Source organism: Homo sapiens, chromosome 20, assembly GCF_000001405.40.
Source record: "Homo sapiens chromosome 20, GRCh38.p14 Primary Assembly".
Taxonomy (NCBI): domain Eukaryota; kingdom Metazoa; phylum Chordata; class Mammalia; order Primates; family Hominidae; genus Homo; species Homo sapiens.
Window position 1 is genome coordinate 6024160 of NC_000020.11, and position 16096 is coordinate 6040255.

Sequence of the window (16096 nt, forward strand, 5' to 3'; positions counted from 1 at the left end):
TGCCCAAGCTGCTCTCGAACTCCTGGGCTTAAGTGATCCTCCCACCTCAGCCTTTCAAAGTGCTGGGATTACAGGCATGAGCCACAGCACCTGGTCTCTGTGTCACGTTATAATAATTCTGCCAATATTCCAGATTTCGTCATTATTAAATCTGTTATGGTGATCTGTGATCAGCGAACTCTGATGTTACTGTCTAATTGCTTTGGGATGCAGTGAACCCGTCAGAGTCATCCATGAGGGTTGGAATCAACTTCTTCCAAAATCCTGTTAATCAAGAGTGAACTTAATCGATTAATGTTGTGTATGTTCTGACTGCTCCACCAATCTGTGGGTCCCCTATCACTCTCCCTCTCCTCAGGCCTCCCTATTCCCTGAGACACAATAATATTGAAATTAGACCAATTAATAACCCTGCAATGTGAAAGGAAGAAGTTACATGTCTCTCACTTTAAATCAAAAGCTAGAAATTATTAAGCTTAGTGAGGAGGGCATTTCGAAAGCTGAGAGAGGCTGAAAGCTAGGCCGGTTGTGCCAAATAGCTAGCCAAGTTGTGAATGCATAGGAAAAGTTCTTGAAGGAAATTAAAATTGTTACTCCAGTGAACACACAAATGTTAAGTAAGCAAAACAGCCTTATTGCTTATGGAAAGAAAGTCTGAATGGTCTGAATAGAAGATCACGTCAGCCAAAACATGTCCTTAAGCCAAAGCCTAATCTATAATAGATCAAGGCCCTAAGTCTCTTCCATTCCTTGAAGGCACAGAGAGGTGAAGAAGTTGCAGAAGAAAAGTTGGAAGCTAGCCAACCTTGGTTTGTGCAGTTTAAGGAAAAAAGCCATCTCCATAACATGGAAGTGCAAGATGAAGCAGCAGGCACTAGTGGGGAAGCTGCAGCAAGTTATACAGAAAATCTAGCTAATGATGAGGGTGGCTACACTAAAAACAGATTTTCAATGGAGACAAAACACCCTTCTATTGGAAGAAGATGCCCTCTAAAGCTTTCATAGGTAGAGAGAGGTCAGTGCATGGGCTTGAAAGAACAGGCTGATTCTCTTGCTAGAGGCCAATGAAGCCAGTGAGTTTAAGTTGAAGCCAGTGCTAATTTATCATTCTGAAAATTGTAGGGCCCTTAAGCATTATGCTAAATCTACTCTGCCTGTGCTCTAGAAATGGAATAGCAAAGCACGAATGACAGCACATCTGTTTACAACATGATGTGCTGAATATTTTAAGCCTACAATTGAGACCTACTGCTCAGAAAAAAAAGATTCCTTTAAAAATGTTACTGCTCATTGACAACACACCTGGTCACCCAAGAGCTCTGATGGAGATATACAAGAAAATTAATGTTGTTTTCATACCTACTAACACATCCATTCTTCAGTCCTTGTCATTTTGACTTTCAAGTCTTACTATTTAAGAAATACATTCCCCAAGGCTATAGGTGACGTAGATAGTGTGATTCCTCTGATGGATCTGGGCAAAGTAAATTGAAAACCTTCTAGAAAGGATTCACCATTCTAGATGCCATTAAGAATATTGGTGATTCATGGGAGAAAGTCAAAATATCACCATTAACTGGATTTTTGGAAGAAGTTGATTCCAACCCACATGGATGATTTGAGGGGTTCAAGACTAGTGGAGGAAGTCACTGCAGATGTGGTAGAAATAGTAAGATAGCTAGAATTAGAAGTGGAGCCTGAGGATGTGAGTGAATTGCTGCAATCTCTTGATAAAAATTACCTGAGTTGCTTTTTAAAGAGGTTTCTAGAGATGAAATATACTCCTGGTGAAGATGTCGTGAACACTATTAAAATGACAACAGAGGATTTAAAATATAACACAGACTTAGTGGATAAGGCCGCTGCAGGGCTTGAAAGAATTAACTTCAATTTTGAAGGAAGTTCTTCTGTGGGTAAAATGCTATCAAATAGCATTGCATGGTACAGCGAAATCTTTTATGAAAGGCAGAGTCAATTTATGTGGCAAACTTGATTGTTGTCTTATTTTAAGAAATTGCCACAGCCACCCCAGCCTTCAGCAACCACCACACTGATCAGTCAGCAGCTGTCAACATTGAGGTAAGATCCTCTACTAGCAAAAAGATTATGACTCATTAAAGGCTCAGATGATTGTTAGCATGTGGTGTGAGTGTTTGTGTGTGTGTGTGTGTGTGTGTGTGTGTATATATATATATTTAGACAGTGCTACTACCGTACACAAAATGGATTATAGTGTAGACATAACTTTCATATGCACTGGGAAACTGAAAAATTCGTGCAACTCACTTTACTGCAGTATTAGCTTTGTTGCGGTGGTCTGGAACAGAGCCTTCAATGTCTCTGAGGCATGCTTGTATTTATTTATTTATTTAAAAACCTCTATATTGGTTGTGTTTCCTTCAGATTCTATTTTTTGTTTGTTTCGGCCTCTCTTTTGTGATGGAGACTTTATTGAAATGTATGGTGATCCTTGGCTGCTAACTTATATTTGAATGAGGCATGAAAAGTTCATTGGGAGCTCCGTAGGCACTGGGTGCAGGGCCTGAATTCTCAGTATCTTTAAGTCTATTCTGTAGATCCTAGCTCTCCATCTGCTGCTTGGGAAGTATAAATGCCTTCCCACCAGGGTTTTGGGAGCTAAGCTGTGGGAGGAGGCTGGGATCTCAGTGTTCGGTATGTAGACCTTCGCTTGATCCCTATTGCACTCCAGTGCCCCTTGGTTCAGAGAGTAACATGTGGAGTTGGGGTTGGTAACTTTTCCTGCAAAGGGCCAGATAGTAACTATTTCCTGCTTTGTGGGTAATGTGATCTCTGTCACAACCACTCAGCTTTGCTATTGTAGCGTGAAAGCAGCCATAGAAAATATACAGGTGAGTGTGAATGTATTCCAATAAAATTTTACTTATAGACACTGGAAATTGAATTTTTTTTTTTTTTTTTTTGAGAAGGAGTTTCGCTCTGTCACCTAGGCTGGTGTGCAATGGCGCTATCTCGGCTCACTGCAACCCCCGCCTCCCGGGTTCAAGTGATTCTCCTGCTTCAGCCTCCCGAGTAGCTGGGATTACAGCCACCCACCACCATGCCTGGCTAATTTTTTGTATTTTTAGTAGAGACAGGGTTTTACCATGTTGACCAGGCTGGTCTCGAACTCCTGACCTCAGGTGATCCACCTGCCTCGGCCTCCCAAAGTGCTGGGATTACAGGCGTGGGCCACCATGCCTGTTTTTGTTTGTTTGTTTGTTTTTGTTTTTTGTTTGTTTGTTTTTTAGACAGGGTCTCACACTGTCACCCAGGCTGGAATGCAGTGGCGCAGTCTTGGCTCACTGCAACCTCTGCCTCCCAATAACTTTCAATAAGTGATTATTGTGCTTCAGCCTCCTGAGTAGCTGGGATTACAGGCATGCACCACCACGCCGAGCTAATTTTTGTATTTTTAGTAAAGATAGGGTTTTGCCATGTTGGCCAGGCTGGTCTCGAACTCTTGGCCTCAAGTGATCTGCCTGCCTCAGCCTCCCAAAGTGCTGGGATTACAGGTGTGAGCCACCCCGCCCAGCCTGGAAATTGAATTTCATAGCATTTTCATGTGTCTTGAAATACTGGTCATCTGACTTTCTTTCCCCCCAATCATTAAAAAATGTAAAAATCACGCTTAGCCACAGGGAGCCACAGCCCTAGCAGTAAGGTGTTAGGGAACGCTTGGGGCGGGGATCTAACTGCTCTTTATATGGACTTCTGAGTTTCTCTTGTGGGAATTCCTTTCTAAAGGACTTAGGTTTTGGCTCTTCTCACCTTATTACTAATAAGCCTGGTTAAAACTTTGAAATCTGTCTCCTCTACTTATTCTCTTTGTGTTTTTATATCCTTTCATTTCTTTACTGTCATTTTAGGAGAATTTTGGAAAGTAGAATGATGCATATATGCAGTCTTGCATGTTCCTACTTTTATGCTGCATTTTTTAAAAGTCACATCTACCTTCATTTTAATAGCTTTGTTTCTCTAAGAGTAAGAAATATCTTCTGCAGGATTGGAGATCAAGAAATTTTTTTGCTTTCTTCCTTCGCTAGAATAATAAATCATTCTGCTATTCTTTTTGGTCTTTTTATGGGAGGGGGAGAAGGATGAAAACAAATTCTTTGGCTTATATGTTAATTAGAGAGTGGAAGGCAAATCCAAGTTAATTTCTACTTAGATTTATGTCCACTGAACTTAGATCTGTGTGTATTTGTTCTGCCACATTTTTGTATTATTTTATTTTTATTATTTTATTTATTTTGTATTATTATATTTTGTATTATTATATTGTTTCTGGTTTACCATCTGGTAAATTCTTATTTCTGGTTTAAGTCAATTTCTAGAATATTCTGTTAAGTTTACCGTTTTCAGTGTAAAAACCTATAGTGTTGATGTTAACCATTTTTAATATGTAAACGATTTTATGAACTATTTCCCTTTAATGCTAATAAAACTTGTCCATGATGTCTGGCTTTGTGGGCTATGTGATCTCTGTTACAGCTACTCAGCTCTGCTGTTGTAGTGTGAAAGCAGCCACAGAAAATATTTAAATTAGTGAGTATGAATGTGTTCTAATAAAATTTTACTTACAGACACTGGAAATATCATTGCAAATATTACCCATGTTTCAGAGTTAGCAAGTAGGGAGGAAAACCTGGAGAAATCCTTGACACATTTTACACTGTCCTGCCCATCACTTTCTTACTCTAGTAGGCAAAATGAAAACTGTTTTAACTCTAGAAGAGAAGAGGAGTCCAAGAGAGAAAGCCAGGAAATTTGGTAACATTTTTTAACCACAGTAGGAGCCCATATCCTTCAGTTGGCTGAGGCCTTTGAGACCACCTGGTACAGAAATGTTCTAGCCTTGCTGTGCATAGGAGTCACCCAGAGGAGAGCTTTCATCTAGGCTTTTACTGAGCTCTCTCAAGGTGACTTTTGGATGGGCAGTCAGTTTGGGGAACCCTTGATTTTTTTTTTTTTAATAGCTCTTTCCCCTACCAGATGGTTACAGATGGTAAACTGAGTCCAGAGATGCTAATTGTTAGGTCACACTGTTGGGTTGGAACCTAATGCGCTGACCCAAACATAGTCTGAATTTCATAGGCCTACATTCCTGGTTAAATGCAGTCTTGCATGTTCTTCCATGCATACTATACATAGATTTTAATTTGCATGGATTTGCTGCTCTTTTTTTTTTTTTTTTTTTTTTAAAGACAGAGTTTCACTCTTGTTGCCCAGGCTGGAGTGCAATGGCACGATCTTGGCTTGCTGCAGCCTCTGCCTCCTGGCAAGCGATTCTCCTGCCTCAGCCTCCCAAATAGCTGGGATTACAGGCATGCCACCACACCTGGCTAATTTTGTATTTTTAGTAGAGATGGGGCTTCTCCGTGTTGGTCAGGCTGATCTCGAACTCCTGACCTCCGGTGATCTGCCTGCCTTGGCCTCCCAAGGTGCTGGGATTACAGGCATGAGCCACCGTGCAGGTTTGCTGCATTTTAAAAGTGTGATTGTTGTTAGATTTTGCCAGCTAATGATTGCTACAGAAAAGTTTGTTTACCGGTACAAAAATGTTCCTAAAAATTATGACTCACTGTTTTCATGCTTGGCTCATATAGCCACATCTTGTTTGCTCCAAATGCCGTGACTTGAGTGGATAAGCATTTTTTCTTTGGAATAGTATTATCCATCAAGGACTAGGCCAAGGATCAATATGTACATCATAGCTATAACAGCAGAGATTTAAATTTTAAATCTGTAATTAGAGATTTTCTTCAGATTGCAGAGCCAATTGAATGTCAAAACTGGAGAGGACCATAAGTATAGCCTCCAATAATTCATAAAAGATTTGTTTGAAAGTATTTTGGAAGGGATGTTCATGATCCTTTTTATTTTTATCTTTATTTATTTGAAATAGTTTGGATGCTGTTGGAACCGAGTGTTTGAACTCAGGCTTTTTTTTTTCCCCCCTTTTTAAAAATAATAATTTTTTTTTCTTATAAAAGATATGTTCACAGTTAAAAACTTTCTATGGTGCAGAAGGATATAAAGTGAAGCAAGTTCTCTGCCATCTCATTCCCATTCAGTAAGGAAATAGGGGTTCCTTGGGTATTTATTTTAAAATATCCTTCTATTGGCTATGGCTCTGGGACCATGGTGTAAAATCTGAGGAATGATGACAAAAATATTGACAAGTTGCATTCATTGAATGGGCAGGGAGAAAAACAGCAATCCCTGGGAAGGAACTGGCTGGATAAGTATACAATATTTCACGCTGGGCACAATGGCTCATGCATGTAATCCCAGCATTTTGGGAGGCTGAGGCAGGTAGATCGCTTGAGCTCAGGAGTTTTAGACCAGCCAGGACAACATGGTGAAATCCCTTCTCTACAAAAATACAAAAATTAGGCATGGTGGCGTGCATCTGTGCTCCCAGCTACTTGGGAGGGTGAGGTGGGAGGATTGCATTGAGCCCAGGAGGTCAAGGCTGCAGTGAGCCGATACCGTGCCACTGCACTCCAGCCTGGGCAACAAAGCAAGGCTCTGTCTCAAAAAAAAAAAAATTCTGTTTCTCTACTAGTTGCACATAACAGCAAATTTTACTCTTCAGAGAATAGTCTAAAATGCAGAACAAGCAATCAAAGCTCCTGAGATTTCAGAAGAGTTTGAGGCCTCCCACATCCTTCTCCACCTCTTTATAATCTCTTTTCATGTAATTCTGAGTATGGTGATCTTTTTTCAAATGTGCAGAGCTTAGAAGTAGCAAAGGAGGAGATAGCGCTGAGTAGAGCTGATGCTGATAACTGCGGACTAATAGCTTAAAAACATGCAAGAAAAAAACACAAACAGATGAGAAGATCAGCATACTGAAAGGCAGATACAGACTTCAAAGCCATAGTCTGTACTTCACTTTGTTTTGAGGGCGGGTTAAAGAAGAATATAAAAATCAGTAGTTTGCTATAGGGGACCCTAAACCATCGATAGGTGTTCATTATAAAATTTCTATTTGTGAAAACAGCAGTTTGTGGTAAGGCTGAATGACATATTATTGTATTCATAATGCATATTAGTACTCTTCAGAATCCCAGTTAAAATTATTTTATGTTTGATTTTCAGTTCCACTTACTTACATGATCATTTCGAGAGATGTAATGTTGATTGCTGCTGTTTTTTATGTCAGATACCGAACTCTTCCAACACCAGTGAGTTTGTTTCCAAAAAGTATTCTTTTAGCATTATATATGATTTAAGGAAAAAGCAAAAAGACATATTTTTGCGTCAACATCTTTTCAATTGATGGCACGTGAAACCCAGACTAGCCAGCCCCTATCCCTAGAAGCAAATTCTTTAAAGGTGTTTCATATAGGTCCAGGCCATATTGTCTAATTTAACCTCTACCATGGATAGTCTAGAATTGGTTTTAAAAATCACAGTTGTATGAACATGGGATGGTTTGTTTGCATATTTATTCACAGGCTCTATAAATACTTGAACACATACGCATAGCATATTAACCTCTTTTGGCTCCCAATGTACTGAAAATAGAGCAGTAGAGCAGTATTTTGTTCATTTTATTTTTTAATTCAAAAAAGAAAATAGTGAATAAGGGAATTTTGAGTTTAGTAAAATTTTATAAAGCAAACTATATGATAGGTATTGTGTTCGAATTTTACAGCAATTGAAAAATCTATACATTTTTTAAAATCAATATTCAGTATATATTGAATGTATGATTTATAAAGTTATGTTGTTACCTAAGTATAATAACAAAATGTCTATTTTAAATAAAAATGTTATTTTAAACAATAAGTTAATTACTTTATCTTTTTTGGTCCTCTGCCAGCGAACACTTGCCAAGTATTTCAATCCTTGCTATGCCACTGCTAGGTTAAAACCAACATTCATCAGCAAGGTAAGAGAATGCAATGTTCTTTGAAGTTATTCCTTTGTAAATTTTTATTATACAGGATATAAACCTTAGTCAAGAACAGCTGAAAATGAGACAAATTTAAATGCATTGAGTATAGAGGCTAGAGAGTAGCGTTGGGCAGGCAGTTTTAACCTAGTTTGTCCTCCGTGTTTTTTGGATCATCCTTATACATGTTGTGCCTTGAGTTGGTGGTCTGAGAGTTTAAGCTCTGAATGAGGTAATCGGGCCACTGTTTAGGGAAAGGGAATTGAAATGTAATTGTTCCTTTTTTTTTTTTTTTTTTTGAGACAAGGTCTTACTTTGTTGCCCAGGCTGGTATGGAACTCCTGGCTTCAAGCAATTCTCCTGCCTTGGGTTCCCAAATTATTGGGATTACAGGAGTGAGCCACCAAGCTTGGCTGTAACTGCTTCTTAATTCAGTTTCACAGATTATGAAGAGTCCCTGGTGGTTTCACTCCCTCCTTCCCTGTGGTGAAAATACCAAATGGCTGTTCATTTTCAGGATTGATAGTTAAGTGGAAAGGGATAGGAAAATAGGAAAAAGTTTTGTTCACTAATAAACAACTGCTACTCTTAGTTGTCCATTCTGTTTTCCCGAGCATTCAGGGCAATAAGTATATGCCAGTCTACCTCTCAAGCCATATTTGTTTTTCTAGTAGCTTTGATAAGTTTTCTCAGTTCATTCTTTTGTCCCATCTTTAATGTCAAGGATTTAACAGGTTAAGAATGCCCATCATTTTTGGGAGAGAAGGGTAGTTGCTTCTATACAGAACTCCCTGGGGTGGACTTTCATCTACATGCATAGGGTTTGGGGTTTTTTTGTTGTTTTTTGTTTGTTTGTTTGTTTGGCTTCAAGTGACTTGTGTTTATATTGTATGGCAATTTGAGTGTAGCGTTACATGGAAAGTGCTTAAAGAGGTACGGGGACAAGTGCCTTAAACCCTTATAGGAAGCCCTTAGGATAAAATTTACATTTTATTTTATTTTATATTTTATATTTTATTTTATTTTAATTTAATTTAATTTTATTTTATTTTATTATTTTTTATAGATGAATTTTTGCTCTTGTTGCCCAGGCTGGAGTGCAATGACGCGATCTTGGCTCACTGCAACCTCCTCCTCCCGGGTTCAAGCGATTCTCCTGCCTCAGTCTCCCAAGTAGCTGAGATTACAGGCATGCGCCACCACGCCCAGCTAATTTTTTTTTTGTATTTTTTAGTAGAGACGGGGTTTCACCATGTTGGTCAGACTGGTCTCAAACTCCTGACCTCAGGTGATCCACCCATCTCGGCCTCCCAAAGTGCTGGGCTTACAGGCGTGAGCCACTGCGCCTGGCTATTATTTATTTTTTAAATGAAGTAGAATCCTTCTCATTTGGCTGCAGAACGGGTGATAGAACAGAGGTGCTCGTCTGCTTCACTCGCTTTTTCATACTTTGCAGACTCTTCCATGGAGTGCTTCTCATGATGATAGAGGGAGTCTCCAGTGTATTTCTTGTTCTATTTTCTTTTCTCCCCAGTGCTGTCTTTTAGTGTAGGGAAGCCTACTCATTTCCTCCTTGAGAGAGGTTCTTTTATGGAGATGAGTGCTTTTTCTTTGAAACGGGGTCTTGCGCTGTCTGCCCAGCCTTGAGTGCAGTGGCGCAATCATAGCTCACTGCAGCCTTGACTTCCCAGGCTCAAAATATCCTACCACCTCAGCCCCCCAAGTAGCTGAGAGTACAGGTGCACACCACCATGCTTGGCTGGTTTTTAACTAGCTGGTTTCAAACTCCTGGGCTCAAGTAGTCCTTCTGCCTCAGCCTCCCAAAGTGTTGGGATTGCAGGCATGAACCACTGCATCTGTCCTGAGATGAGTGCCTTTTAATTTTCTAACCTCACAAGGTTTGACAGGTAGGCAAGAAAGGAGCATCGGATAAGGCCCCAGGAAATCTAGGTTCCAGCTTTGGTTCTGTTGTCTGCTGTGACTGCAGGCAAGTCACCTAACTCATTACCCTTTTACCCATGAAGAGGTAGCTTAGTTATTTTCGTATTCCATTTTAATGGGCAGTTGGAAAAAAGGCAAATAATTTTGTAACATTTTTGAGTTGCTGTGAGAATTCAAGGTAGTGGTATTTTCTGACAGTTGTCATTACTCTTGCTCTTAAGGGCAGCTGTGCAGACAGATGGGTCAGTTAGTGAAGCTGACCCTTTTGTGTGTGCTCACCTGTGAATGCAAGCTTATTGGGCAGGGATAGTGTAGATGAACAGCAAGCATGCTGAGGGTATGTCATGTTATAGTGTGATGGGCTGTGCTTTTGTCTTGAAAGCTTGAAATAGGATCCAGTTGGCACTATTCACTTAGAACTTTTTCTTTTTTTATTTAGGTGAATACAGCAGTCCAGTTAATCTTGGTGGCAGCTTCTTTGGCAGCTCCAGTTTTCAACTATGCTGACAGCATTTATCTTCAGATACTATGGTAAGCTAAATTTAGAATCACTCTCTTAGAATGTCAACAGAATGACTTATGGTGATAGCCCTAGAATGACCTTGTTCTTACAGCATTTGTTGAGCACTGACTGGGTAAAGCTGTGGCTATATTTGGTGATTGATACCATTGTTAAGACGCTTCCTGCCAAGTATGAGATGGAGAAGTTAGCTTTCATACAAATTAAAAGGGATAAAAGGTACTGATAATGTGTTAAGGGTTTTGGAGGAAGAGATAACTTCGTAGGAAGAAGAGGGACAGTTTCAGGAAGGAAGTGGCATTTGTTGCATGAAGTGGATTGTGTGTAGGAAGAGACTGAGAGGAGACCACTAGGTGAAAGACAGGGCCTAAGCCAAGAGATAGAGTGTAGGAGAGAGGGTAGGGAAGCTGAGTCCAGCCTGTTGAAAAGGGTGTTGTAGGAGGGAAAACTGGAGAGAGGAGTTTGAATTTTATTATACTAATTGCTTATTTATCATCTTAAAAGTGTGTCAAATTCACGCTTTCAGAGTTCAAAATAGTCACATTGACATTGGAGTATTATATTTTGGCACAATTTTAACTAGAATTAAAATTATCTTGCTTGGTACAGTCTGGACCAGAAAGTGGTGGCTAATCACAGTCAGTTAAGCCAGGCAGTCTTTTAAAAAATGACAACTACTCTAAACTTTTTATTTTAATTAAAAATATTTAAGTGTACATTTATCCCAGTTCATCTTATACCTTCTGATATAGGATGAAGGCTTTTTGAGTGTAGGTCCATCAGTGGGAGTTTTTTCTTTCTCGGATAAACTACATCCATAATACAAACCTCTCTGATTTTCATTTTTTACTTCTTTAAGGTGATGCAAGAACTTAAAACATTTGCAAAGCAGTCTAAGAACTGTTTAGATATTTTCCCTAGTCTTTTCACAATCATCTTGTCTATTTATTTTGACAGTATTTTTTTCCCCTAGGAACCCATGAAGAGAGAGACAGTATTTTTTTTTTAATCAAGTCACCTTTATTGAGTCTTTCTAAAGCATCCAATGTAGTTTTCAGAAATAGCAATTAAAAAAATTTTTATTTTATTTTTTTGGAGACAGGGTCTTGCTCTGTCACCCAGCCTGTAGTACAGTGGCATGATCATAGCTCACTGTAACCTTGAATTCCTGGCCTCAAGCGATCCTTCAGCTTCAGCCTCCTGAGTAGCTGGGATTACAGGCATGTGCCACCACCACACCTGGCTATTTTTTTTTAATTAATTAATTTATTTATTTTTGAGACAGAGTCTCGCTCTGTTGCCCAGGCTGGAGTGCAATGGCCTGATCTCAGCTCACTGCAACCTCTACCACCCGGGTTCAAGCGATTCTCCTGCCTCAGCCTCCTGAGTAGCTGGGATTACAGGCGCCCACCACCATACCTGGCCAATTTTTGTATTTTTAGTAAAGGCGGGATTTCACCTTGTTGGTCAGGCTGGTCTCGAACTCCTGGCCTCAGTTGATCCACCCGCCTCAGCCTCTCAAAGTGCTGGGATTACAGGTGTGAGCCACTGTGCCCAGCCACTAATTTTTTGTATTATTATTTTTTGTAGAAACAGGGTCTCACTATGTTGCCCAGGCTGGTCTCAAACTCTTGGCCTCAAACAATCCTCCTGCCTCGGCCTGCCAAAGTGGTAGGATTATAGTCATGAGCCACTGCGTCCAGCTAGAAATAGCAATTTTTCTAACACATATATTTCATTGGTTTATGTATGAATTTAGAATATCAAAGTGGCATGAACAGGTTCAAGATCCAACAAAAGGGAATCTTGATTCTGCCTCACCTAATAAAAGCAGAAGTGCGTGGGCGCACTAAAAAGTAATCTAGCTGTGGGCATGCAGCATGCCATGGGTGTCAGGTGATGTCATTTCAAGGAGAATCCGGTTAAGGGTAGTTTGGTAAAGAAAGCTGAAATTTATTTAAAATGACTCAGGTATCTTTAGAATTCTCAAAAGCTGCAGGAAATAAGAGTCTGGTACCCTGAGAAGCATGGGGCAGTAGAAAGAGCATGTGGGCTTTAGAGTTCAAACGAAGTCAGGCTCAAACATAGTTCTGTGATAAGCCCTGAGCAAGTTACCCGGGTCTTCCATTTCCCCCTTCTGGAGAAGTCCTTTGGAGGATGAGTCCTTCTGGAGGATGAGTCCTTCTGGAGGATGAAGTCCTTCTGGAGGATGAGTTCGTTGTAAGAATAAAATGAGAATGTAAGACACCTAGAGGATGCCCGAGTAAAAAATGACAGTTGCTAGTAGTAGTAATTTGTAGGGCTCATTATCTAGAATAATTTTGTTTGACGTTACTAATTAAAATGAACTCTTAAAGAAAAGCAGTGTATTTAGACTCTTGTAGTTAAGAAAAATTACACCACAGAGCCCTTTTTACTTTTTAAATTCATTTTTACATTTTAAATTCATTGCATGTATTCATTATGATTCCCGTTGCTACTATTTTTTAGACTTGACAACTACATTTTATTTCTTTTCTTCCATAAAAGGTGTTTTACAGCTTTCACCACAGCTGCATCAGCTTATAGTTACTATCATTATGGCCGGAAGACTGTTCAGGTGATAAAAGACTGATGAAAGTCATCCCTCACTGTTAGTAAGGAAGCAGTATACATCAATGGGAACAGGGCCCATGGAAATGTACAGGAGTTTCCCTATTTTGGTGTTCAGCTTGAAAAAGGACTTGTCAGAATCAACTGTGTCATCAAAATTTAAGTAATGTGCATTGAAAATAAGGTTGATCATGGGAATATGCAGAATTTCCAATGTATTTTTAAATACAAATAAAATTGTAATTTAGAATTTTTAATCTTAGGTTTCTTGATTAATTTATAAGAGATCAATTATTGTCAGTCTTTTTTGTATGTTTTTTAAAAACATAGTCCAGAGCATGGGCAGAATTGACACCTCTCTTTTAAGTGAAATTTGGATTGCTCACAAAGCACTAGGAAATGTCATGGGGTTCAAATATATATCCTACACAACTGGGCAATACATTTTTGTTTGATTTTTAGGTCTGTGTATACATTAACAGTTCATGTAATTAATACCTGATCATTTGGGATAATGAAAGTGAAGTTAGTTGTAGATGAAGTAAAGTTATAAAAGAGATTAAAAATGCGGTAACTTTTTAAGATAATAATCATACAGAAGGTATGAAGTTCATTTTCGGTAGTCTTCCAACCTCTCAGGTGCCTAATAATTTATGTTTGAGGATAACAGGTAACAAAGATAGTCGAGATAGGAGAACGTGTCTATTAGTCTTTGCATCTAAAAGGCAGTGAGTTACGTTCCTGCCTTCCACTGTGTTTCTGACATAGCAATGTTTGTTTGATATTGGAACCTGGATTCATATTTTATGTAAATAATATCAAGCTGTATATTTTTCAAAGGTTTTTTAAACTTTGGAGACTCTTTCTTTTGTTAAGCAGTTAAAGGAATAAAAGAGCTGGAAAAAAAATTGTACCTTCAACTCAGGTTGTTCCATATAACATACGTATTCTCTGCTGTTACGTAAGTTTTCCGATTCACAGAGTCCATTCATGTACATCACTTACACTTAAATTGTAAAAATAATTAGTCTGACCATCTGACTTTAAAAGACTGTTGCTACACGTACATCATGTTTAGGAGAATGTGGGATATGGGGAAGGGGAGAAGAAGACAGTCCAGTGGTGACTAGTTGCTGCTGCTTAACCTATGGCCTATTGCTGCCCATTGTCCCTGGTTTTAATCCAAGCCTATTATGGAATACTGCAGTGAGATTATCCATTCTCAGCCTGTTGAGCTGCATTAAATTAGAATGGGAGGCTGTAAGTAAAACTCATGCCTCTTGGCCAGGCATTCTGCACCAGCGTGTCCCTCTGTGGCTTGCTGGTCCTGGTTGTTCTCAGACTGGCAGCTGAGCTGCGCTTGGCTTGAAGCATACTGAAGCCTGCAGCCAGGGACACCGCCATTGAATCAGATGGAGGGGGATGAAAAAGCAGAGAAGGGGGCATGTGGCTGGCTATTCTTGCTCTCTGGAGAACAGCTTCATTGTTAGGAGTAGTTAGGCTGAAAGTGGACTTCCCACTGCTGAGCCACCCAAGAGGCACACTGAGCATTAGTGACGGGTGAGCCACATAAGAATAATGTTTAAAAAAGAGAGGACTTGAAGTAGCTATGCGAAAATTTAGAACTTTGCACTTTGTTAACGCTTATTTATGGTTTAGTGTTGATGCCATTTGGAGTGACCTATGGGTTGGACCCATATCTTTTTATTATTAAGGTCTCAATCTGGCTCTGGTTAATAAACGTTTCCCGCTTCATCCCTTAGGAAAATGGTCCAAGTCTCCTCAGGCTTTTGGATACTGAATTGTTATAAAACACATCAATTCTGCCAGTTTATAAAACACTGGAATTGTATTAGACATGTCTGAGTATGTACTTGTTTATAGACTCAAAACATGATGAAAATTCATTTCATTGTCTTCACTGAATAGACTTAACCTTGACAGTAAGCTTAAAGCATTAGTGTCATTTAATTACATGTCTGAGGAATTTATGCTAACTAGATTTTGGGCTTTTGCAGCGAATTTTAGTCGGGGCCTCATTCCTGAGCCCAAGTGACCCTTTCACCTCAGCTTCCCAAGTAGCTGGGATTACAGGTGCACACCAACTGTGCTTTGCAGTTTTGTTTGTGTGTGTGTGTGTGTGTGTGTGTGTGTGTGTGTGTGTGTGTATTTTGTTTTTTTTACAAGCCCACAACATCATAGCTTTGCAGTTTTTAACCAGGAGCTGGTGGAGATCTTTGAAATCATTTAGGCCAATTCTTTTAGTTACATTTATGATGAAACTAGGGATCTACCTTAAAGTTTTGGGAAGCTCTTTCAAAACTTCAGACACCTAGAAATATATATAGTGCAGTTCAGTTTTAGTTTCTGCAGCATGGTTTGGAAACAAAAGATACATAGGATTTAAACTCGATTTGTTTTCTTCTTACAGTAGAAGTAAATGCTCTTGTGGCTTGAATCGCATCTCCCAAGAAAGATACGTTCACGTTCAAACCCCCAGTACTGTACATGTGACCTTATTTGGAAATAGGGTCTTTTTAGATGCAGTCAAGATAGAATTAGATCATACTGGATTACAGTGGGCCCCAATAACTAGGTTTTTTTGTTAAAAAAAAAAAAAAAGGAAATGTGAACAGAGAGAGAATGCCGTGAGATGATGGAGGGATAGATTGGAATGATGTCTGCGAGCTAAGGAATACTGAGGATTGCTGCCAACCATCCGAAGCTGGGAGAGGAGATGGAACAACTCCCTCGGAGCCTCCAAGAGGAACCAACCCCACTGATGCTTTGATTTGGGATTTCCGGCCTGAACTGTAGGAAAATAAATTTCTGTTCTTTTAAGCCATTTTTACCAGTTTGTGGTAACTTGTTACAGCAGCTGCAGGAAATTAATAAATGCCAATGTTGAAAATTAAAATCTAGAAATATGGCTCTAATTATAATTTCATAGAATCATTTTTTCCCCTGAGTTTCCCCTGAGTTTGCATAAAAGTGAAAAAGTAGAGGACAGAGTAGATGCCTCCCACATGAAGACACAGATTATTAAGGCATTGTTTGATGCAATTAGGGCAGAGAAACACGGGCTTCTAGCTAGAGCCTCGGGTTCTCTTTTGCTCATT

General features: G+C 39.4%; 1 protein-coding gene across 13 annotated transcripts in view; it reads left to right on the forward strand.

The window, feature by feature from the left end:
• The window catches only part of CRLS1 (cardiolipin synthase 1), a 34116-nt gene extending 18222 nt beyond the window's left edge, over nucleotides 1-15894 (forward strand). For 7 of the 13 annotated variants that reach the window (NM_001323562.2, NM_001323563.2, NM_019095.6 and 4 more), the window contains exons 4-7: nucleotides 7126-7211; nucleotides 7853-7921; nucleotides 10305-10396; nucleotides 12915-15894. In NM_001323562.2, the coding sequence (NP_001310491.1) occupies nucleotides 7126-7211; nucleotides 7853-7921; nucleotides 10305-10396; nucleotides 12915-12999 (332 nt within the window). In that variant the 3' untranslated portion in view covers nucleotides 13000-15894. Of the gene's footprint in view, nucleotides 1-2011; nucleotides 2080-4512; nucleotides 4567-7125; nucleotides 7212-7852; nucleotides 7922-10304; nucleotides 10397-12914 lie in introns of those variants that run through there. The other 6 variants (XR_007067457.1, XR_007067458.1, NR_136617.2 and 3 more) reach the window with 5 other exon arrangements.
• The last annotated feature ends 202 nt before the right edge of the window (nucleotides 15895-16096 follow it).